We start from the raw sequence: 23,989 nt of genomic DNA, 5'->3' as shown, positions 1-23,989 counted from the left end.
CCATGCCCGGCCTAATTAATTAATTAATCTTTTAGAGATAGAGTCTCGCAGCTGGGTGCGGTGGCTCACGCCTGCAATCTCAGCACTTTGGGAGTCTGAGGTAAGTGGATCACGAGGTCAGGAGTTCGAGACCAGCCTAGCAAAGATGGTGAAACCTTGTCTCTACTAAAAATAGAAAAATTAGCCAGGTGCAGCGGCGGGCACCTGTAATCCCAGTTACTCAGGAGGCTGAGGCAGGAGAATCCCTTGAACCCGGGAGGTGGAGGTTGTGAGCCAAGATAGCTGCACTCTAGCCTGGGCAACAGAGCAAGACTCCCTCTCAAAAAAAAAAAGAGAGAGAGAGAGAGATGGAGTCTTGCTGTGTTGCCCAGGCTGGTCTGAAACTCATGGCCTTAACCACTCCACAACCCTTGCCTTGGCCTCCTAAACTGCTGGGATTACAGGTGTGAGCCACAGTGCCTCGCTAATTTTATTTTTTTTTTAATAGATAGTATTAAAAGGTAGAAGATCTGGTCGGGCATGGTGGCTCAGTCCTGTAATCCCAGCACTTTGGGAGGGCGAGGCGGGCAGATTACCCGAGGTCAGGAGTTCGAGACCAGCCTGACCAACATGGAGAAACCCCATCTCTACTAAAAATACAAAAGTAGCTGGGCATGGTGGCGCATGCCTGTAATCCCAGCCACTCGGGAGGTTGAGGCAGGAGAATCACTTGAACCTGGGAGGCGAAGGTTGTGGTGAGTCAAGATGGCACCATTGTATTCCAGCCTGGGTGACAAGAGTGAAACTGCATCTCAAAAAAAAAAAAAAAAAAAAAAAAGATCTGGCTGGGCATGGTGGCTCACGCCTGTAACCTGAGTACTTTGAGTGGTCGAGGTGAGTGGATCACCTGAGGTCAGGAGTTCGAGACCAGCCTGGCCAACATGGTGAAACCCCCTCTCTACTAAAAATACAAAAATTAGGCCTGGTGTGGTGGCTCACGCCTGTAATGCCAGCACTTTGGGAGGCTGAGGCTGGTGGATCACCTGAGGTCAGGAGTTTGAGACCAGCCTGGCCAACATGGTAAAACCCCGTCTCTACTAAAAATTCAAAAAATTAGCTGGGCATGGTGGCGCGTGCTTGTAATTCCAGCTATTTGGTGGGGCTGAGACAGGAGAAGCACTTGAACCCTGGAGGCAGAAGTTGCGGTGAGCCAAGATCATGCCCCCGCATTCTAGCCTGGGCAAGAGTGAGACTCTGTCTCAAAAAAAAAAAAAAAAAAAAAAAAAGGGCATGGTGGCGGGCACCTGTAATCCCAGCTACTTGGGAGGCTGAGGCAGGAGAATCGGTTGAACCCCAGAGGCGGAGTTCTAAAGTGAGCCGATATCACACCACTTCATTCCTGCCTGGGCAACAAGAGTAAAATTCCATCTTAAAAAAAAAAAAGCTAGAAGATCTGCAGTTATGAACTTTGATAGCCATTAACTGACTAGATCTTCAACCTAAACGGGTTAAAAGAGGGGGAAAGAAAATGGAATGGTAAAAAGAACTAGATGGAAAAAGGAATGAAGTAAGAAGTGATATGCAAAATAATTGTCATCTTCTCCGTGCCTCCCATTCCCTCAGTCTAGTCGAGGTCTTTCCACCTGGCCATGTTTCTTTTCCTCAGATAAAGCAAGCTCATTCTCACCTTAGGACTTTCAAACCAACTATTCCCTAACCTTGGAGTGCTTTTCTTATTTTGGCTGAGTTGTCTCCTTGTAGTTCGGGTTTCTGTTTAAATGTTATTCTAAAGAAATTTGCTTTGTAACATTTATCAGTAATATTTTCTTGTTTATTGTCTGTGCCATGCTTTGCAAACACATGTGTGCACACACTCAATAGTGCTCACTCACTTGTCTGCACTAGAATAATAAGGTCTAAGAGATCAAGGATTTTGTCTGTCTTGTCTACCCCATTTTTCCAGCACCTTACACGTAATAGGTGCCCAGTAGATAATTGTTATGTGAATGAATACAATAGGAGCATGTTCATACAGAGTTAACCCAGTCTGGGGCTCTAGGGAAGGAATTCTAAGGAAGTGACATTTAAGCTAAGGAAATTGGTTAAGTGAAAAGTTGGGCAAAGCGCAAGGTAATGATGATTGATAGGTGTAGGTGCAGGGGCCTTCAGCTCAAATGCCCACAGATAATGATGTGAAGAGATAGATTTTCATTTTGAAATCACTGGCTAGTGTTGAAAATGAATTGGATCAGGAGTTACCCATTGCAAGAGATGATGGTGGCTTCGAATAGAGCAGCAGCAGTGGGGCTGGAAAAAAGTATGAATTGGAAGATATTTAAGATATAAAATTACCAGGATTTAGTGAGAGACTGGATATGGAGGATGAGGAATCAGAGCTGATTCCCATATTTTTGTCTTGAGTACAGCAAAAGCTATATGAATTCTGAGACTGTTTATTTAATTGGGTGATTGGCTAGAAAAAAATATATACATGTAAATAAAAACTGAGGTTGAAATCACAATCTTCAAAGTTTCTTAAGGAACTTTACTGTGTGGATTACCAAAACTGATTTTTGTACTTACATAGGTCATCAGAAATCTTAAAATTTTTGTCACAAATAGCCGGGCGCAGTGACTCGTGCCTGTAATCCCAGCACTTTGGGAGGCTGAGGTGGGCAGATCATGAGGTCGAGATCGAGACCACCCTGGCCAACATGATGAAACTCCATCTCTACTAAAAATACAAAAATTAGCCAGGGGTGGTGGTGCACGCCCTGGAAGGCTGAGGCAGGAGAATTGCTTGAACCCAGGAGGCGGAGGTTGCAGTGAGCCGAGATCATGCCACTGCACTCCAGCCTGGGTGACAGAGCCAGACTCCATCTCAAAAAAAAAAAGTCACAAATAAATTTCGTTAAAATTTTCTGTTTGTATCCAGAATTTACTTCCTTTCTTTACTCCTTGGAAGGTAAATTCCTTTTGCCATTTATTTATTTATTTAGAGACAGAGTTTCACTCTTGTTGCCCAGGCTAGAGTGCAGTGACACGATCTCGGCCCACTACAACCTCCACCTCCCGGGTTCAAGTGATTCTCCTGCCTCAGCCTCCCGAGTAGCTGGGATTACAGATATGTGCCACCACGCCCAGCTAATTTTGTATTTTTAGTAGGGATGGGCTCTCACCATGTAGGTCAAGCTGGTATCAAACTCTTGACCTCAGGTGATCCGCCCACCTCGGCCTCCCAAAGTGCTGGGGTTACAGGCGTGAGCCACCGTGCTGGGCCCCGAGAACTGATTTATGTCTGCAGTAATGTGTGTAATTTCACTTGAGGAATATGGTTTTTGCCAATCCTCTTACAGCAGTAGCTTTTATCCAAGAATGTTCATCAAAATCACCTGTGGAGCTTTGAAAGATGCAGATGCCTGGCCAGGCGCGGTGGCTCATGCCTGTAATTCCAGCACTGTTGGAGGCCGAGATGGGCGGATCACGAGGTCAGGAGATAGAGACCATCCTGGCTAACACAGTGAAACCCTCTCTCTACTAAAAATACAAAAAAATTAGCCGGGCGTGGTGGCAGGCACATGTAGTCCCAGCTACTGGGGAGGCTGAGGCAGGAGAATGGCGTGAACCTGGGAGGTGGAGCTTTCAGTGAGCCGAGATCACACCACTGCACTCCAGCCTGGGCGACTGAGTGAGACTCTGTCTCAAAAAAAAAAAAAAAAGATGCAGATGCCAGCTTTTAAAATTGAGCTATGAATTAATTACTCTTGATTCAGATTTATGCTGTTCCTGGATTCCTTGGGATACTATAAACAAGTTTTGGGGTTTTTTGTTTTGTTTTGTGTTTTATTGAGACAGTCTTGCTGTGTCGCCCAGGCTGGAGTGCAGTGGTGTGATTTTGGCTCGCTGCCAATGTCAAAACAGCATTCTTCATTATAATAAAGGAAACCATACAATGGAATACTATGGCAGCTGTTAGGGATGGAGATCTTTATGGAATAATGTCAAAGATACATTGCATTGTATAAAATGGTAAACTGGTGCTTGCTTAAGCAGCACATGTACTAAAATTGGAACGATACAGAGAAGATTAGCATGGCCCCTATGCAAAGACGACACACAAATTCATGAAGCAGTCCATATTTTTAAGTATTTTTTTAAAAAAATCAAAAGTAAGAAATTTTTATTTATTTATTTATTTATTTTGAGATGGAGTCTCGCTTTGTCGCCCAGGCTGGAGTGCAGTGGCGTGATCTTGGCTCACTGCAACATCCGCCTCCCGGGTTCAAGCGATTTTCCTGCCTCAGCCTCCTGAATAGCTGGGATTACAGGCATGCGCCACCACGCCCGGCTAATTTTTGTATTTTTAGTAGAGATGGGGTTTCACCATGTTGGTCAGGCTGGTCTCGAACTCCTGACCTCGTGATCCACCCACCTCGACCTCCCAAAGTGCTGGGATTATAGGCGTGAGCCACCGCACCTGGCAACAAGAAAAATAAATTTTTTTTTTTTTTCAGACGGAGGCTCACACTGTCTCCCAGGCTGGAGTGCAGTGGCGCGATCTTGGCACACTGTAACCTCCACCTCCCAGGTTGTAGCAATTCTTCTGCCTCTGCCTCCCAAGTAGCTAGGATTACAGGCGCCTGCCACCACGCCCAGGTAATTTTTTGTATTTTTAGTAGAGATGGGGGTTTCACTATGTTGGCCAGGCTGGTCTCAAACTCCTGACCTTGTGATCCGCCCGCCTTGGCCTTCCAAAGTTCTGGGATTACAGGCGTGAGCCACTGCGCCTGGCCACGTTATATATTTTTGTAATTGAATGTTAATATATGATTTTAATTAGAAAAAATTAACTGCTTTAAAAACACCACTTCCTCATGTATTCGCTGTGGAGTGGGGTCTAGGCATCTGTATTTCTTCTTTTTTCTGTTTTCTTTTTTTTTTTTTTTTTTGAGACTGAGTCTCGCTCTGTTGCCAGGCTCTGGAGTGCAGTGGTACAATCTCAGCTCACTGCAACCTCTGATTCCCCGGTTCAAGTGATTCTCCTGCCTCAGCCTCCCAAGTAGCTAGGACTACATGCGTGTGCCACTATGCCCGGCCAATTTTTGTGTTTTTACTAGAGACAGGGTTTTGCCATGTTGGCCAGGAAGGTCTCGATCTCATGACCTAGTGATCTGCCTGCCTTGACCTCCCAAAGTGTTGGGGTTACAGGCATGAGCCACTGCGCCCAGCCTTTTTTTAAATTTTTTTTGAGATGGAGTCTCACTCTGTTGCCCAGGCTGGAGTGCAATGGCATGATCTTGGCTTACTGCAACCTCCGCCTCCCGGGTTCAAGCTATTCTCCTGCCTCAGCCTCCTGAGTAGCTGGGATTACAGGTGCACACCACCACGCCCAGCTAATTTTTGTATTTTTAGTAGAGACTGGGGTTTCACCATGTTGGCCAGGCCGATCTCAACTCCTGACCTCGTGATCCACCCACCTCGCCTCCCAAAGTGGTGGGATTACAGGCGTGAGCTATCACACCCAGGCAGGCATCTGTATTTCTAAACTCCATAGGTGATTCTGATTCTCATAGAGGTGAAGGTTCTTGACTCAGAGTTCGCTTTCCTCTGAATTCTTTTCTTTTTTTTTTTTTGAGATGGCGTCTTACTCTGTTGCCCAGGCTAGAGTGCAATGGTGCGATCTGGGCTCACTGCAACCTCTGCTTCCCAGGTTCAACTGATTCTCCTGCCTCAGCCTCCTGAGTAGCTGGGACTACAGGCACCCGCCACCACGCCCAGCTAATTTTTTGTATTTTTAGTAGAGATGGGGTTTCACCATGTTAGCCAGGATGGTCTTGATCTCCTGACCTTGTGATCTGCCCACCTCTGCCTCCCAAAGTGCTGGAATTACAGGCGTGAGCCACCGCGCCCGGCCATTTTTGTTTATTTATTGTTTTTTTCTTTTTCGTTTTCTTTTTTTTGAGACGAAGTCTCACTCTATAGCCCAGGCTGGAGTGCAGTGGTGTGATCTAGGCTCAAGGCAGCCTCCGCCTTCTGGGTTGAAGTCAAGTGATTCTCCTGCCTCAGGCTCCCAAGTAGCTGTGATTACAGATGTGCACGACCACGCCCAGCTAATTTTTGTATTTTTTAGTAGAGACAGGGTTTCACCATGTTGGCCAGGCTGGTCTCAAACTCCTGATCTCAGGTAATTTGCCTGCCTCAGCCTCCCAAAGTGCTGGGATTACAGGTGTGAGCCATCATGCCCAGCCCTGACCAACATTTTAAATGCCTCACCTTGGCATTTAGCTAGAAACCCTACTGGTTTAGTTTCTTAGGTCTGTAGGTGTTACCATGGCCTCACATTTATAATTTGGTTTTTCAAACTGGCAAGAAATCAGAATCGTGGAAGTTCCTAGCATAGCACTTCATAGTTCATGTTTATGGTGGCAGCCAAGAGCTGTGGCCATACTGGCTTCTTGAAGCCTTCTCGTACCCTTTCACAGTACAAACTATTTCAAACCAAAATGAAATGCCTAAGCTTGTGTCTGTTATGTTACTGCCTTCTGCAGTCAAGTAGCATTGTTGCTTCTTTACATTTTCTAGCTCCTCAGTGCAGGGGTGGAGGGTGGGTGAGGAAAATCACAACAGTACTCTTTCTCTTAAAATTGAGCTATGAATTAATTACTCTTGATTCAGATTTACACTGTTCCTGGATTCCTTGGGACACTGTAAACAAGTTTTGGGTTTTTTTTGTTTTGTTTTGTTTTTTATTGAGACAGAGTCTCGCTGTGTCACCCAGGCTGGAGTGCAGTGGCGTGATTTTGGCTCACTGCCAATGTCTGCCGCCTGAGTTCAAGCAATTCTCATGCCTTAATCTCTCGAGTAACTGGGACTACAGGTGCATGCCACCGTGACCAGCCTATTTTTTTTGTATTTTTAGTAGAGACGAGGTTTCGCCACGTTGGCCAGGTTTTTCTTGAACTCCTGACCTTAGGTGATTCTGCCCTCCTCAGCCTCCCAGAGTGCTGGGATTATAGGCGTGAGCCACCGCGCCTGGCCTGGTTTCTTAAAATTGACATTTTCTCAGTAGTTCTCTCTCTAGTCTGCTTGCTAGATGTTTAACTTAAAAAATTCTACACTATGTAGCACTTGTCAATTTAAAAGACTCAAAAGACTGCTGGGGCATTAAAAACCCAGCTTTGTTTCTGTCTGCAGGTTTAATAAACAATGAATACCTTCATATTCCAGAAACCAATTAAAAATCATTGTTTTTTTTTTTTTAACAGAGCCATACCTTTCAAGGTCTTTTCTGAGAAAAATCATTACCAGTCACTTTCTTATTTACCAGTGACAAATTGTAGGGAGGAGTCATCTTAAGAGACCTCTGTGTCCTTTCCTTATACAGGCTGGAGGGATGTTACCCTGTAGGTTTTTGGCTAGCTGCTAGTTTTATGTGTTCAACAGGGCATTTAGCCTAGCCTTGCTAGATGGCCTTACTGAAGTGCAGTGCTTCGTTTAATTGTGTGACCTTAGGTGATCTATTTCATCTAAATTTGGTCTATTTGTGAGGCAGAGATAACATCTGAATGGCTTATCTCACAGGATGGTTTTGAAGATTAAATGAGATAATGTGGTAGCACTTTGTAAACTGTAAAGTATAATGCAAATGTAAAGTATTATTTTTCTAGGAATCTTCAAATGTAGCAGACTCAGCAAATGTTTAGGTAAAAATTATGGCAATGCTAGATTTCTTTGTTTACAATATTGTGATATAAACCATACGAGTTGGCTAAGTAGGACAACTGAGGATCTCAAACTGAGGTTTGAGTACATACTGTAAAACCATACTCCCCTATTTGTAGTCCAGTCAACTCAGTTACTAGCTTCAACTAGTAACTCTTGAGAGTATTGGTTTTTTTTTGTTTTTTTTTGTGAGACGGAGTCTCGCTCTGTCGCCCAGGCTGGAGTGCAGTGGCGCGATCTCGGCTCACTGCAAGCTCCGTCTCCTGGGTTCACACCATTCTCCTGCCTCAGCCTCCCAAGTAGCTGGGACTACAGGTGCCCGCCATCACGCCCAGCTAATTTTTTGTACATTTAGTAGAGACGGGGTTTCACCATGTTAGCCAGGATGGTCTCGATCTCCTGACCTCATGATCCACCCACCTCAGCCTCCCAAAGTGCTGGGATTACAGGCGTGAGCCACCATGCCCGGCCGGGAGTATTGTAAATAATAAATGAGTAGGCAGGGCGCCATGGTTCATGCCTGTAATCCCAACACTTGGGGAGGCCAAAGCGAGAGAATTGTGTGAGGCCAGGAGTTTAACAGAAGCTTGGCGCCCGGCACAGTGGCTCACGCCTGTTATCCCAGCACTTTGGGAGGCTGAGGCGGGTGGATCACGAGGTCAGGAGTTGGAGACCAGGCTGAGCAACATGGCGACCTGTCTCTACTAAAAATACAAAAATTAGCTGGGTGTGGTGGCACGCACCTGTAATCCCAGCTACTCAGGAGGCTGAGGCAGGAGAATCGCTTGAACTCTGGAGGCGGAGGTTCAGTGAGCATGATGATTAGCACCACTGCACTCCAGCCTGGGTAACAGAGCAAGACTCCGTCTCAAAAAAAAAAAAAAAAAAAAAAAAAAAGGAAAGAAAGAGAAGCCTGAACAACATAGGAACACCTTGTCTCCACCAGAAAAAATTGAAAAAATTAGCCAGGTTTGGTGGTACAAGCCTGTAGTCCCAGCTACTTGGGAGGATGGCTTGAGCCCAGGAGGTCGAGGCTGCAGTGAGTTATGATCAGGCCACCGTACTGGGCAACAGAGCGACACCCTGTGTCTAAACAAAATTTTTTAAATAAATGAGTAAAGTGTTTGTAATAGTACCTGGCACATAATAAGCACTCACTATTATTAGATACTTCAGTGAAACTTTGCAGATAAACATGGCTGGTTGAACTACATGGTTCTACTCCTTTTGAAAATCTCACACAAGTAATGGTCAAAGGATTTTTTTTTTGGAGGGGGGATGGAGTTTCGCTTTTGTCGCCCAGGCTGGAGTGCAATGGCGCAATCTCGGCTCACTGTAACCTCTGCCTCCCAGGTTCCAGCGATTCTCCTGCCTCAGCCTTCCAAGTAGCTGGGATTACAGGCGCCCACCACCACACCCAGCTAATTTTTTGGATTTTTAGCAGAGACAGGGTATCACCATGTTGGTCAGGCTGGTCTCGAACTCCTGACCTCAAGTGATCCGCTCACCTCGGCCTCCCAAATTACTGGGATTACAGGCGTGAGCCACCACGCCACCTGGCCAATAAGAAGATTTTTAAAGAGACAAGAAAAATAGGAAAAAGACAAGTAGAGATGTCAGAAAACAGCTGGAAAACTAGTTACTGACCAGAAAAAGCTAAAAATTAAGTAGGACTGGATTTAGGAAGAGCCAAGAAGGTACAACAAACCAGTTTGTGTCACAGGATTCTGGAAAGGCCACTAGGTACCCCTGACAATAGGGGTGCAGGTGGAATTTACAAAGTGGTAATTGACCAGGCATGATGGCTTACACATGTAATCCCAGCACTTTGGGAGGCTGAGGCGGGAGGATCACTGGAGTCCAGGAGTTCAAGAACAGCCTGGGTGACATAGTGAAACCCTGTCTTTAAAAAATAAATAAATAAATAAAAATTAGGCCAGGTGCAGTGGCTCATTCCTGTAATCCCAGCACTTTGGGAGGCTGAGGCAGGCAGATCACCTGAGGTTGGGAGTTCAAGACCAGCCTGACCAACATGGAGAAACTCTGTCTCTACTAAAGATACAAAATTAGCTGGGCATGGTGGTGCATGCCAATAATCCCAGCTACTTGGGAGGCTGAGGCAGGAGAATCGCTTGAACCTGGGAAGCCGAGGTGGTGGTGAGCTGAGATCGCGTTGTTGCACTCCAGCCTGGGTGACAAGAGCGAAATTCCGTCTCAAAAAAAAAAAAAAAAGATAATTGTGTCATTAAAAAAAAATAAAATTACCTGGCACAGTGGCTTACGCCTGTAATCCCAGCACTTTGGGAGGCTGAGGTGGGCGGATTACTTGAGGTCAAGCGTTTGAGACCAGCCTGGCCAACATGGTGAAACCACGTCTTTACTAAAAATACAAAAAAATTAGCCAGGAGTGGTGGTGTGCATCTGTAGTCCCAGCTACTCGGGAGGCTAAGGAAGAGGATCATTTGAACCTGGGAGGTGGAGGTTGCAGTGAACTGATATTGCGTCACTGCACTCCAGCCTGGGCGACAGAGACTCCATCTCAAAAAAATAAATAAAATTATAGATCATTTTTCCTTTTTTTTTTTTTTTTTTTTTTTTGAGATGGAGTCTCGCTCTGTCCCCCAGGCTGGAGTGCAGTGGCATGATCTCGGCTCACTGCAAGCTCCGCTACCCGAGTTCACGCCATTCTCCTGCCTCAGCCTCCCGAGTGGCTGGGATTACAGGTGCCCGCCATCACACCCAGCTAATTTTTTGTATTTTTAGTAGAGATGGGGTTTCACCGTGTTAGCCAGGATGGGCTCGATCTCCTGACCTCGTGATCTGCCCACCTCAGCCTCCCAAAGTGCTGGGATTACAGGTGTGAGCCACCACGCCCAGCCTCTTTATCATTTTTTTAAAGACAGTCTTGCTTCCTCACCCAGGCTGGAGTGCAGTGGCACAATCACAGCTCACAGCAGCCTCAACCTCCTGTGCTTAAGCGATCCTCCCAGCACACCCAGCTGATTATTTTTTGTAGAGATGGGGTCTCACTACGTTGCCCAGGCTGGTCTCAAACTCCTGGGCTCAAGCAGTCCTTCTGCCTAGGCCTTCCAAAGTGCTGGAATTACAGGTGTGTGCTGCCGAGCCCTGACCTCTCTACTGATTTTGACAAATAGCTTTCTTGAAACCCTAGAGAACTAATTGTAAACAAAAAAACACGTTGGGAAGGCTGGCTGGGAATCTCCAGTAATACAGTATCTCTGGATGTAGATGCTCTGGGATGAGCCAGTAAAGAAAGCTCAGGAAGAAGCGGGGATCTGTTTTCTATATTCTTCTTATTTGAGTTGCTCTTAAGACAGTACTTAAAAAGTAAGGAAAGGGCCAGGCTCAGTGGCTTAGGCCTGTAATCCCAGCACTTTGGGAGGCCGAGGCAGGCAGATCACCTGAGGTCAGGAGTTCGAGACCAGCCTGGCCAACATGGTGAAATCTTGTCTCTACTAAGAGTATTAAAAAAATTAGCTGGGCATGGTGGTGAGCGCCTGTAATCCTAGCTCTTTGAGAGGCTGAGACAGGAGAATCGCTTGAACTCAGGAGGTGAAGGTTGCAGTGAGCTGAGAGTGCTCCATTGCACTCCAGCCTGGGCGACAAGAGCGAAACTCTGTCTCAAAAAATAAAAGTGAGTAAAGATCGAAGTCATGAGAATGCTTTACTTTAGATTTCCCCATTTGGGCGCTTTCTTTACCTAACAATTATGCCATTCTATGACTGTTCCTCTCTGAGGCCATGCTAATTAATGATAAAGGGAGGATAAGCTTGCAGTAGGTAGAGATCAGTTAGAAGCTATGCTGACCCTTTCGGCTCATAGCAGAAGGATCAGGTGGATAATAGTCAGTGCTGTTTTATTTTTTGGCCAGATCTCATGCCAGTAATCCCAGCACTTTGGGAGGTCAAGGCAGGTGGATCGCTTGAGCCCAGGGGTTCAAGACCAGCATTGGCAACATGGCAAAAACCCTTCTCTACCGAAAATACAAAAATTAGGCAGTCTCATAACCTGGTCTCTAAATAAGCAAATAAATAGATTAAACTTTTCAAAAAGAAATGCTATTTATTTTTCTAAGACAAATTTTATATATATATATATATATATATATATATATATATATATATATTTTTTTTTTTTTTTTTTTTTTTTTTTTTTTTTGAGATGGAGTCTCGCTCTGTCACCAGGCTGGAGTGCAGTGGCGCGATCTCGGCTCACTGCAACCTCCGCCTCCCGGGTTCAAGCAATTCTCCTGCCTCAGCCTCCCGAGTAGCTGGCACTACAGGCGAGCGCCACCATACCCAGCTAATTTTTATACTTTTAGTAGAGATGGGGTTTCGCCATATTGGCCAAGCTGGTCTCGAACTCCTGACCTTGTGATCTGCCTGCCTCAGTCTCCCAAAGTGCTGGGATTACAGGCGTGAACCACCGCACCCAGCCTTGTAGATGGACTCTAAGTGCATTCTGTCTATACATGCCAGTTTTACAGTGTTTAGAAAACTTAATGATTACACTAAGTAAGCTTCCTTTCCTAAGGATGCTAGGAATAACCAGTTTAACCTCAAATTGGTATTATTTTAAACTCAAGCGGAGACGTAACTCTTCCTTGTCTTGGATTACCTGCCATCCAGGTAATTCTTTGGCCAGTTTTGTTGATCAATTTTGTTTCATTGATACAGTGCCATCTACTGACAAAAATTGGTAATCATAAGGCTTTAAGTCTGTCAGAAGTCAAAGAGTTGGGTCCGGGCACGGTAGCTCATGCCTGTTAATTCCAGAGTTTTGGGAAACCAAAACGGGCAGATCACTTGAGGTCAGGAGTTCGAGACCAGCCTGGCCAACATGCTGAAACCCCATCTCTACTAAATATACAAAAATCAACTGGGCCTGGTGGCAGGTGCCTGTAGTCCTAGCTACTCAGGAGGCTGAGGCATGAGAATCACTTGAACCCTAGAGGCGTAGGTGAGCCGAGATAGCACCATTGCACTGCAGCCTGGGCGACAGAGGGAGACTGTGTCCCCCTCCCCCAAAAAAGTCAAATTTGGATGAAGGACTAAATAAAATAGATTTATAAGGGACTAAAATTTCAACACTGGAAAAACCCTTAGATGTTACCTAGCTTGATGATGTATTTTATAAAGGAGTAAACTCAGATTCTATTATCTTTGATAACTACAGTTCTGTTTTCCCCACACTTGTTTTCCAAATTTTTACAGGGTTCCAGTTTAGAGAATTTCATGATCATTCTGGCATTTTTATGACTCTTCCTTAGTTTTTAGAAATAAATTGGAGGCCAGGTGTGATGGCTTATGTCTGTAATCCCAGTAGGAGGCTGAGGTGGGAGGATCACTTGAGCCTGGGAGTTTGAAACAAGCCTGGGCAACATATTGAGAACTTGTCTCTACTAAAAATTTAAAAAATTAGCCAGGCATGGTGGCGCACACCTGTGGTTCCAGCTACTCAGGAGACTGAGGCAGCGGGATCACTTGAGCCCAGGAGGTCAAAGCTGCAATGAGCCATAATTACTTCACTGCATTCCATCCTAGGTGATAGAGTGAGACACTGTCTCAAAAAAGAAAAAAAGTTGTAAAATAAACTAAATACAATAAGTTAACAAGAAATTTGTGAATCGTAAGTTCAATTCAGAAAAGACTGCATAAAGAACAAGAGAACATGGCTGGGCACAGTGGCTCATGCCTGTAATCCCAGCACTTTGGGAGGCCATGGCGGGTGGATCACTTGAGGTCAGGAGTTCGAGACCAGCTTGGCCAACATGGCGAATCCCTGTCTCTACTAAAAAAACAAAAACTAGCTGGGCATGGTGGCACACACCTGTAGTCCCAGCTACTCAGGAGGCTGAGGCAAAAGAATCACTTGAACCCAGGTGGCGGAGGTTGCAGTGAGCCAAGACTGTGCCACTGCACTCCAGCCCGGCTGGAGTGAGACTCCATCTCAAAGAGGGGGAGGTGCGGGGCCGGGGCTGGAGCTGGGTTCGGTGGCTCACGCCTGTAATCCCAGCACTTTGGGAGGCCAGCACGGGTGAATCACGAAGTCACGAGTTTGAGACCAGCCTGGCAGCTTGACCAACGTTGGTGAAACCCTGTCTCTGCTAAAAATACAAAAATTAGCCGGGCGTGGTAGCTCACACCTGTAGTCCCAGCTACTCAGGAGGCTGAGACAGGAGAATCACTTGAACCCGGGAGGCAGAGGTTGCAGTGAGCCGAGATTGTGCCACTGCACTCCAGCCTGGGCTGGAGTGAGACTCCGTCTCAAAAAAAAAAAAAAAAAAAAAAGTCCAGGCACGGTGGCTCACGCTTGTAATCCCAGCACTTTGGAAAGCCAAGGCAGGCAAATCACGAGGTCAGGAGTTGAAGACCAGCCTGGCCAACGTGGTTAAACCCCGTCTCTTCTAAAAATATAGAAATTAGCCAGGCGTAATGGCGGGCACCTGTAAAACCAACTACTCGGGAGGTGGAGGCAGGAGAATCGCTTGAACCCGGGAGGCAGAGGTTGCAGTAAATTGAGATCACACCATTGCACTCCAGCCCAGCTCACAGAGTTGAGACTCCGTCTCAAAAAGACAAAAACAGACTGGGCATGGTGGCTCAGCTCTGTAATCCCAGCACTTTGGGAGGCCGAGGCAGGCGGATCATGAGGTCAGGAGATCGAGACCATCCTGGCTAACATGGTGAAACCCCGTCTCTACTAAAAATACAAAAAATTAGCTGGGCGTGGTGGCGGGCGCCGGTAGTCACAGCTACTCAGGAGGCTGAGGCAGGAAAATGGTGTGAACCCAGGAGGCGGAGCTTGCAGTGAGCTGAGATTGCACCACTGCACTCCAGCCTGGGGGCAGAGCAAGACTCCATCTCAAAAAAAAAAAACAAATTCAAATCCAGTACTTTGATGAAAAGGAAAACTTGGAATAGGAGAAAGTATGAGTCAGAGAGTAATATGTAAGTTTTATTGATATGTGCACATTTTTAGGAGGACTGCTTTTCTTTTTTTTTTGAGACAGTGTCTCACTCTGTTGCCCAGGCTGGAGTACAGTCGTGCGATCTTGGCTCACGACTGGCTAATTTTTGTATTTTTAGTAGGGACAGGGTCTCGCCATGTTGGCCAGGATGGTCTTGAACCCCTGACCTCAGGTGATCTGCCCGCCTCGGCCTCCCAAAGTGCTAGAATTATAGGTGTGAGCCACTGCACCCAGCCTTTCAATTTAATGCAATATTTTAGCTACCGTGCTCTTTTACAACGGTTTTTTTGTGAAGATGGAGTCTTGCTGTGTTGCCTAGGCTGGTCACACACTACTGGGCTTCAGGAATTCTCCCACTTGGGCCTTCCAAAATGCTGGGATTGCAGATGTGAGCCTGCACGCCTGGCCCTAGCTACCATGCTTTATGGTAAAAGGAGTATTGGGAGCCTTTTAAAATTACCAAGAATGGGTATAAAAGTTTTAAATGGATACACAAGAATAAAGAAGTTTGCTGTGAAGGCCAGGCGTGGTGGCTCATGCCTGTAATTCCAACACTTTGGGAGGCCGAGGCAGGTGGATCACCTGAGGTCAGGAGTTCGAGACCAACCTGGCCAACACATAGTGAAATCCCGTCTCTACTAAAAAAAAAAAAACAAAAAAAACAAAAAAAAAAACAACAAAAATTAGCTGGGCTTGGTGGCACACGCCTGTAGTCCCAGCTGCTTGGGAAGCTGAGGCAGGAGAATCGCTTGAACCCAGGAGGCGGAGGTTGCAGTAAGCCGAGATTGCGCCACTTTGCACTCCAGCCTGGGCAACAGAGCAAGACTCCGTCTCTCAAAAAAAAAAAAAAAGTTTGCTGTAAGATTAATTGGGGCTGTTTTATGAGCTTTCTGGCTGGACATATCAGAAAACTATTTTGTATCGAGTGTGAGAAGAAGCCTAACACTTACTATAAGCAGCATACAATATTATCACCTGTCATGTCCCTGGTTTTCTTACCATCCAGATATTATCTAACCAATAAGAGTGCTCCCTAATGCCCTTTTTATTTCATTTATCATTTTAGCAGCGTCACCCTTTACACCAGAAAGCTGGCGGGCACTATGGGGAAAAAACAAAACAAGAAGAAAGTGGAGGAGGTGCTAGAAGAGGAGGAAGAGGAATATGTGGTGGAAAAAGTTCTCGACCGTCGAGTGGTAAAGGGCAAAGTGGAGTACCTCCTAAAGTGGAAGGGATTCTCAGAGTAAGTTTCACTGACACAGGTAAATGTAGCCACCACGTGTTTATCAGGAGTCTAGAGATGTATGAGACCTCCAGTGCTATGATGGATACAGTGTGACTCAGTCCCCACCTTCATGGCTTATTGTTTAATTAGGAATATGGCCTACTGCTTATAATACAAAGCAGAATGACTTCTTTTTAAAAATTATTTCTTTTGAGACGAGGTCTCGCTCTGTCACCCAGGCTGGAGTACAGTGGTGCAGTCATAGCTCGCTGCAGCCTCAACCTCCCAGGCTCAAGGTATCCTCCCACCTCAGCCTTCTAAGTAGCTGGTACCACAGGCATGCACCACCATGTCTCGCTTAGTTGCCCAGGTTTGTCTCTTAACTCCTGGCCTCAAGCAGTCCTCCCACCTGGGCCTCCCAAAGTGTTGGGACTACAAGCATGAGCCACTGTACCCAGCCCATAGTGATTGCTGAGAAACAGTTTTGTGTGTGGCTACAGACCAATTTAAATTGACAAATAAAAGTCATTTGCCTTTGAAGGAAGCCAGTTTCTTAGCTTTCTATTTATACTAAAAAGCTTCCCCATTCCCCAAGAATTTCAGCTTTTCCATAGACATCTGAGGTCTTGTCCTCTTACGATTATCCTTAGTATGAGTATACTTATTTGAGTGAAAGTGTGACTTGCTGTGCCCTCTGGTTTCAGTGAGGACAACACATGGGAGCCAGAAGAGAACCTGGATTGCCCCGACCTCATTGCTGAGTTTCTGCAGTCACAGAAAACAGCACATGAGACAGATAAATCAGAGGGAGGCAAGCGCAAAGCTGATTCTGATTCTGAAGATAAGGGAGAGGAGAGCAAACCAAAGAAGAAGAAAGAAGAGGTAAGAATAGAAGTAAGAATTTTTACTAGCCCACAATTCAAACTACTGTCAAAGTAGTTTTGTTCTGCTTCTTCCCTGATATTAGCAGCTGTCTCTTCTTAGTCCTGAAATCTTAGGTAGGCTAATGCCTACAAAGTGAGAGTGTACTGTCATGAAGCCACATGATCTCTTACTTTTTATCCATGGTACAGGAGCAGTAAATGGAAAACTTGCTGGGGACAGATATAAGGGCAAGTGAATTCATTCTTGTAAAAAATAGTTTTCAATATTTAATCATTAAAGGTGTGAGGTGGCTATTTTGACTTAATCAGTATCTTAAAGTAAGTTGTTTTTTGAGAGTGAAGAGATAGTTGTAAACATTGATTTTGCTTGGGCTGTATGTCCCTTTTCACATAGGGAAAATCTCATGCGCTTCAGACATTGATGAATAATCACTCCAAAGGATTCTAACAGCTCTCTTACTTGAGCCAAGGTATTGGTGAAATATTGGCAAAAGAGTTTGTGATTGGGCCGGGCACGGTGGCTCACACCTGTAATCCCAGCCCCTTGGGAGGCCGAGGCGGGCGGATCACAAGGTCAGGAGATCAAGACCATCCTGACTAACACGGAGAAACTGGGTCTCTACTAAAAATACAAAAAATTAGCTGACGTGGTGGCATGTGCCTGTGGTCCCAGCTACTTGGGAGGCTGAGGCAGGAGAATCACTTGAACCTGGGAGGCAGAGGCTGCAGTGAGCCGAGATCGCACCACTGCACTCCAGCCTGGGCGACAGAGTGAGATTCCGTCTCAAAAAAAAAAAAAAAGAGTTTGTGATTACATTAATCAGAGACACAGGAATGGTTCCAGTCTGGATAATAGTCCCATATAGATAAAATTGTTCTACCCATCTTGTTTTTACAGTCAGAAAAGCCACGAGGCTTTGCTCGAGGTTTGGAGCCGGAGCGGATTATTGGAGCTACAGACTCCAGTGGAGAGCTCATGTTCCTGATGAAATGGTGAGTCGGCCAGTGGCTCTGTGTGGTTGTTTTTTTTCTTCTCCCATTGGTTTCATGCCAGAGGAAAAGAGCTGGACCTTCGAAATTCCAATCACCCAAGTGTGAAATTGTTAAGATGGCATAGTCCTTCGATAGTGACCCTCGGCCTGACTGCCACCCTGGACTCATGAGTTACAGGTAGGAGCCCTTAGGAATCTTGGGTCTTTGCCCATATTTTTAGGAGGTGGGAGACAATCTAGAGTGGAAAGAGTGTGGGAAGGAATTACATTTCACTTCTGTAAATAAAGGGGGAGAAAATGAAATGTGATTGGACCACCCTCTCCTTCTACCACCTCCTTAATAAAGATGAGGCTGGCCCCAGAATCAGAAATTCTGCTAAATTCTCAGGGTTAGGAAAGAATCTGTAGTTCTTCCTTTTGTCCTTAATTGTTGGATCCCTTTCAATTTGTGCAGATTCTACAATTACAGGATCAGCCAGCAGGGGTCAGCAAGGCTCCTTAACTGCTATCAAGCATAGAGCAAGCCTGCTTTTTTCCATTATGAGTATAAATACCAGTGATAGTAATACTCCATGAAACAGCCTAATGAAGATAGTTATCCCAACAATCTCTGTAATTTTCCTACTCTGTCAAAAGAAGGCCATTCTTCCTATTTCTTGCTCATTCTCCCCACAAAGTGGATCTCAATGATTGTATTTAAAATTTGGAAGGAATAATTCTAAGCCATTGCCAATGAAGGCAGCATTCTAGAAACTTTGTCCTTTAAAACACACACACACACACACAGTCTATGGAGCTTTGTCCTTTTGTCAGTCCAGAACTTACTCTGAAACTCGTGTCTGTACTAATTATCCTCTTTTACAGTATGGCTGGAGGGGCCTAACTTTAGCACCACTGAAAGCCAGAGTCACAACTAACTAACCTATTCTCTTCTATGTATTCCCTAGGCAGTTACTGGAGCTGCCCCTCTTTTAGCTGATTTATTGTTAACCTATAAGAGAAAAGTTCATTTTTAAGATGCTGCTTATTGGGTGGGAGAAGTTATACTGTGAGTTACTCAGTTTAGCTAGAATATACTTTTTCTGCATGTGACCAGTGTGAGTTACAGTAGTATCTCCATATTGCTTAAGATTGTACTCCTTTGGTTGACTCACTACTGTCTTTTTTTTTTTTTTTTTTTTTGAGACAGTCTCACTCTTTCGCCCAGGCTGGAGTGCAGTGGCACGATCTCAGCTCACTGCAACCTCCGCCCCTCCGGGTTCAATGATTCTTCTGCCTCAGCCTCTCAAGTAGCTGGGATTACAGGCATGTGCTACCACGCCTGGCTGATTTTTGTATTTTTCATAGAGATGGGGTTTCACCATGTTGGCCAGGCTGGTCTCAAACTCCTGACCTCAGGTGATCCACCCACCTCAGCCTCCCAAGGTGCTAGGATTACAGGCGTGAGCCACTGCACCTGGCCGACTCACTGCTGTCTACAGGTTAAAACTGGATTTGATTATAAGACAAAGTACATTTTAAAAAGTTATTTTACTGGAGAATAGAGATTTTTGTATATTTCTAAAAGTAGTAAATATTTCTGGGGAGTGAAATGACTAAATTTAACTCAGAGGGTGTTGTTCAGCTGTCAGCAAATGGCAGCATGCTTCAGATTCCCATTTCCCTCCCATTCTCTTGGGTCCATTGTTCAAAAACATACATTATCAGCTTACTCTTCTGCTCTATGGGACTATGTGGCTCTGATTTCCTGTTATTAAGGTTCTAGAGATTTGGGGTGGTGCTTTGTCAGAGATGTCATCAGGTGTCTCCTGCTTGCTTTACGCTACTGCTTCTGTCTAGGACATTCCTAATAACCTGAAGATAAGAGTTTGTTTTTTTTTTAAATGAGACAGAGTCTCGCTCTGTCACCCAGGCTGAAGTGCAGTGAGGCGATCTCTGTTCACTACAACCTCCACCTCCCAGGTTCAAGCGATTCTTGTGCCTCAGCCTCCCGAATAGTTGGGATTACAGGCGCACGCCACCATGCCTGGCTAATTTTTGTATTTTTAGTAGCAACACGGTTTTGCCATGTTGACCAGGCTGGTCTTGAACTCCTGGGCCTGCCCACCTTGGCCTCCCAAAGTGCTGGGATTATAGGCGTGAGCTACTGCTCCCTGCCTAAGAGTTTACTCCTAATTCCCTTATAATGTGTATGATTTTCAAATTTTGAAAACTTTTTTTTTTTGAGACAGAGTCTCACTCTGTCGCCCAGGCTGGAGTGCAGTGGCATGATCTCGGCTCACTGCAAGCTCTGCCTCCCAGTTTCACGCCATTCTCCTGCCTCAGCCTCCCAAGTAGCTGGGACTACAGGTGCCTGCCACCACACCAGGCTAATTTTTGTATTTTTAGTAGAGACAGGGTTTCACCGTGTTAGCCAGGATGGTCTCGATCTGACCTCGTGATCCACCTGCCTCGGCTTCCCAAAGTGCTGGGATTACAGGTGTGAGCCACTGCGGCCAGCCACTTGAAAACATTTTAAAATTCAGAAAACTACAGCTCCCTCATTTTCTACTCCCGATGTTGAAACATCATTTCAAAGCACCTGGAAGTTATGCGAGGATAGCATTTGGAAGTGTCAGTGTAATTACGATTATGCAAAAAGTGTCCATCTTCATTTGCTCTGGCCAATGCCAGATGTGGTATTTAATCCTATTACGGGCCGGGCGAGGTGGCTCATGCCTGTAATCCCAACACTTTGGGAGGCTGAGGCAGGTGGATCACCTGATGTCAGGAGTTCAAGATGAGCCTGGCCAACATCTTTAGTAGAGATGGCAAAACCCCATCTCTACTAAAAATACAAAAATTAGCTGGGTGTGGTGGCGCACACCTATAATTCCAGCTATTAGGGGAGGCTGAGGCAGGAAAATCGCTTGAACCCAGGAGGTGGAGGTTGTGGTGATCCGAGATCATGCCACTGCACTCCAGGCTGGGCAACAGAGTGAGATTCTGTCTCAAAAAAAAAAAAAAAAAAATCCTATTACAAAGCCAAGATTTCTCCATGGGTTCTTATCAGCTGGGATATGGCTTTTGGAGGAGTGTGGTAACTTCTCTTCCCTCAGAGAATCTAGGTATCCTCTCTTCCCTCAGAGAATCTAGAGAGTCATGCTTTTTGGGGCCTTGCCCAGATGTTCAGATGTGATTGGTTAAGTCCATTGACCTGGCTTTTGACATACACGAATCCCCAGAGGGAATTTTCAACAGGAGAGTTAACTCTGAGGATGTCACTTGACATACAATTGCCAGTAAATGCTGCTTGGGCCACGTTTTCATTGTTCCCTAGCCTATTTTTCTAAAATTACCATTTTTAAAGCACTGTCCCCTGGGTTATCCAACTTAGGATAGACCACCAGCACCTGGTCTCAAAGTCTCTCTTTGCTTTATTCTGCAGGAAAAACTCTGATGAGGCTGACCTGGTCCCTGCCAAGGAAGCCAATGTCAAGTGCCCACAGGTTGTCATATCCTTCTATGAGGAAAGGCTGACGTGGCATTCCTACCCCTCGGAGGATGATGACAAAAAAGATGACAAGAACTAACGCTCCTGAGTACCAGCCCCTGTCACATCTGACTGTGGGTTTCAAGTGGGAAGGGAAGGAGTTCTACTTGTCTTGACACCATAGAGGTGGCTTGAGAAGATGTCCTTTGAAGAGCCAGTATAGTTTCTGTGCCCTGCAGCAGCCCAAGTGCTTTAAAGCCGTTTCAAGCTGTATAGTTTGCACACCCATCCCAGTGGAGGGGAAAGGGGATAAGTGTTTCAAGGCAACCTTTTCTGCACTTTGCTGCGAAAAGCAAAGGGCCTTCTATGAAGGACAAAACTTGCAGAATTGGGTGTGTGGGAGAGCAAAAAAATACTGTAGATCTTCAAAGAGCATCTCCACAACCCACAGCCTTCTTCCCAATAGTGTTAACTCTGCATTTTTACAGCGTAGCATGTGTGTAGTTTTTGGCTATTACTGGTGTATTATTTGGGGGAGGGAGGGATGGGGAGGGGAGAAAGGGAGATGGGTAGCATCATTTTGATTAACATTTGGGGCCTGATAGGGGAAATGGTGAAGCAATGGAAAAGAACAGACAACTAATGATTTGCTTCTATGTCCAGAATATTTTACCTTTAAAAAAATGTCATTGGCACCATAAATAAGGACTGTGAGAGACTGTTTAAAAGCTGTGAAAGTCTGAAACCTATAAGCCAAGGTGTTCCCTGCCTAAACTTATTGCTGTTCCCACAAAGGACTAAGCCTGTTCATAAGTTACCAAAGTTGCCATTTTGGAGATGGAAATTGACGAGGAGGGAAGGTCTTTTATTGGAGAGTATACAGTACAAGCAGATCATTCTGCCTTAGAGGTGCTAATTCCCGAAATTAGAAGACCCTTTCTTTTCCAGTAACGAAGTTATAAATATCAGCTTGTTCATCCAAGCCACTGGCTGAGGTGTTAGGAAGAGGAAGAGGGTGGTAGAGGAGGTAAGACAGTAGGGAAAGACAAGGGCCCATGCTCTTAGTGGGGAAAACTCTTGGAGCCGTTTACTTTGAGCTTTGAACACTGAAACCATTGTTGGCAGGGTTCAGTCACTGACAGCACAAGTTTCACTGAATTGATCCAAGAGTTTAGTGATTTCAAAAGCCTTGGTCTCAGGAGAAGATTAAACTTTCATATTGGGCAGTGGTTCACTTTAAAACACACACATACACACACAAAACAATTTTTTAAGAAATCCTAATAAGTAACATACCCAAAATGCTCTGTCTTGAGTCATGAGAACCATCAGTTCTTGATATTGTCTAGACTTGCATCTAGAGCTACGTTGTAAAATTCTTTTAGGCATGTGTTAGATTTCTGTGTAAACTTTGTTTAAATGTAAACTTCATACTACATTGTCAGTTTTTGTCTTAATAAAACTATAGATTTATAATCCCTGATTTCTGTCTTAAGTCTTACCAGGAACCCTTCTTGCCTTATAGGTTCAGCCTGTTGGAAATGGCTTCCTCACTTGAATGGTTTTATTTCTTGAACACTGTAGGCTTGAAAATCTAGTGCCTGGCCTGAATCTTTAAGTGGTCACACCATGTTAATTTAGTAAATACTTACTGGGCATTTATCAGTTGCTGCAGAGGTTGTAAAGATGGTCGCATCATGCTGTCTTCAGTACTGCCAAAAGTTTATTGAGCACTCTGACCTGATAGCACTTCCAAACTATGGTATATTTGGAAACATGGGTTTTTAAGTTAGGTTTAGATCCTGCCTATGGTATGTAATAGATTATATGACCTTGGCTAAAATCTACTTCTCCAAAATTTTCCAGGAATTTGGCCCTGTGTTTGCGCACTGATTTAAAACGTCATTTTCTGCCTATGATTTTTTTTTTTTTTTTTTGAGATGGAGTCTTGCTGTCACCCAGGCTGGAGTACAGTGGTGTGATCTCGGCTCACTACAACCTCTGCCTCCCAGGTTCAAGCGATTCTCCTGCCTCAGCCTCCAGAGTAGCTGGGACTACAGGCGCGTGCCACCACACTTGGCTAATTTTTAAATTTTTTTAGTAGAGATGGGGTTTTGCCATGTTGGCCAGGCTGGTCTCGAACTCCTAACCTCAGGTGATCCACCTGCCTCGGCCTGCCAAAGTGCTGGGATTACAGGCATGAGCCACTGTGCCTGGCCTTGGACTTGCCTTTATTTTTTTTTATTTTTTTTTTTTTAGTCTTGCTCTGTTGCCAGGCTGGAGTGCAGTGGTGCGATCTCAGCTCACTGTAACCTCCGCCTCCTGGGTTCAGCGATTCCCCTGCCTCATCCTCCTGAGTAGCTGGGACTACAGGCGTGCACCACCACACCCGGCTAATTTTTTGTATTTTAGTGGAGACAGGGTTTCACCATGTTGGCCAAGATGGTCTTGATCTTCTGACCGCATGATCCGCCCGCCTCGGCCTTCCAAAGTGCGGGATTACAGGAATGAGCCACCACATCCGGCCAACTTGTCATTTTTGTAACAGACATAGGATTTCCACTGAGAACAAATCAGTGTAACAGTTGAGTACTACTCACTCGTGCAAAGCATTTGTTTAAAATAAACTGATGTGTAGATAATTTTTTCAGAAAGCCTCCTCAGGAAAGTTCTCAGGAGACATAAGTGGAGCTGGGGAGCCTTACTGAAGGTCTGGGTCACAG

At 45.2% G+C, this 23,989-nt stretch overlaps 1 protein-coding gene and 1 pseudogene across 2 annotated transcripts in view; both read left to right on the top strand.

Moving 5' to 3' along the window:
* CBX1 (chromobox 1) overlaps positions 1 to 22,742 on the top strand; it is a 31,420-nt gene extending 8,678 nt beyond the window's left edge. For both annotated transcript variants that reach the window (NM_001127228.2, NM_006807.5), the window contains exons 2-5: positions 15,760 to 15,936; positions 16,623 to 16,800; positions 17,701 to 17,795; positions 21,222 to 22,742. In NM_001127228.2, the coding sequence (NP_001120700.1) occupies positions 15,797 to 15,936; positions 16,623 to 16,800; positions 17,701 to 17,795; positions 21,222 to 21,366 (558 nt within the window). In that variant the 5' untranslated portion in view covers positions 15,760 to 15,796 and the 3' untranslated portion in view covers positions 21,367 to 22,742. The remainder of the gene's footprint in view (positions 1 to 15,759; positions 15,937 to 16,622; positions 16,801 to 17,700; positions 17,796 to 21,221) is intronic.
* Positions 4,017 to 4,122, top strand: RNU6-1201P (RNA, U6 small nuclear 1201, pseudogene; annotated as a pseudogene).
* Positions 22,743 to 23,989: the final 1,247 nt, after the last annotated feature.

Source organism: Homo sapiens, chromosome 17, assembly GCF_000001405.40.
Source record: "Homo sapiens chromosome 17, GRCh38.p14 Primary Assembly".
Classification (NCBI taxonomy): Eukaryota; Metazoa; Chordata; class Mammalia; order Primates; family Hominidae; genus Homo; species Homo sapiens.
Note: the sequence above shows the minus strand (reverse complement) of the source record. Positions and strands in the feature narration are given on the sequence as shown.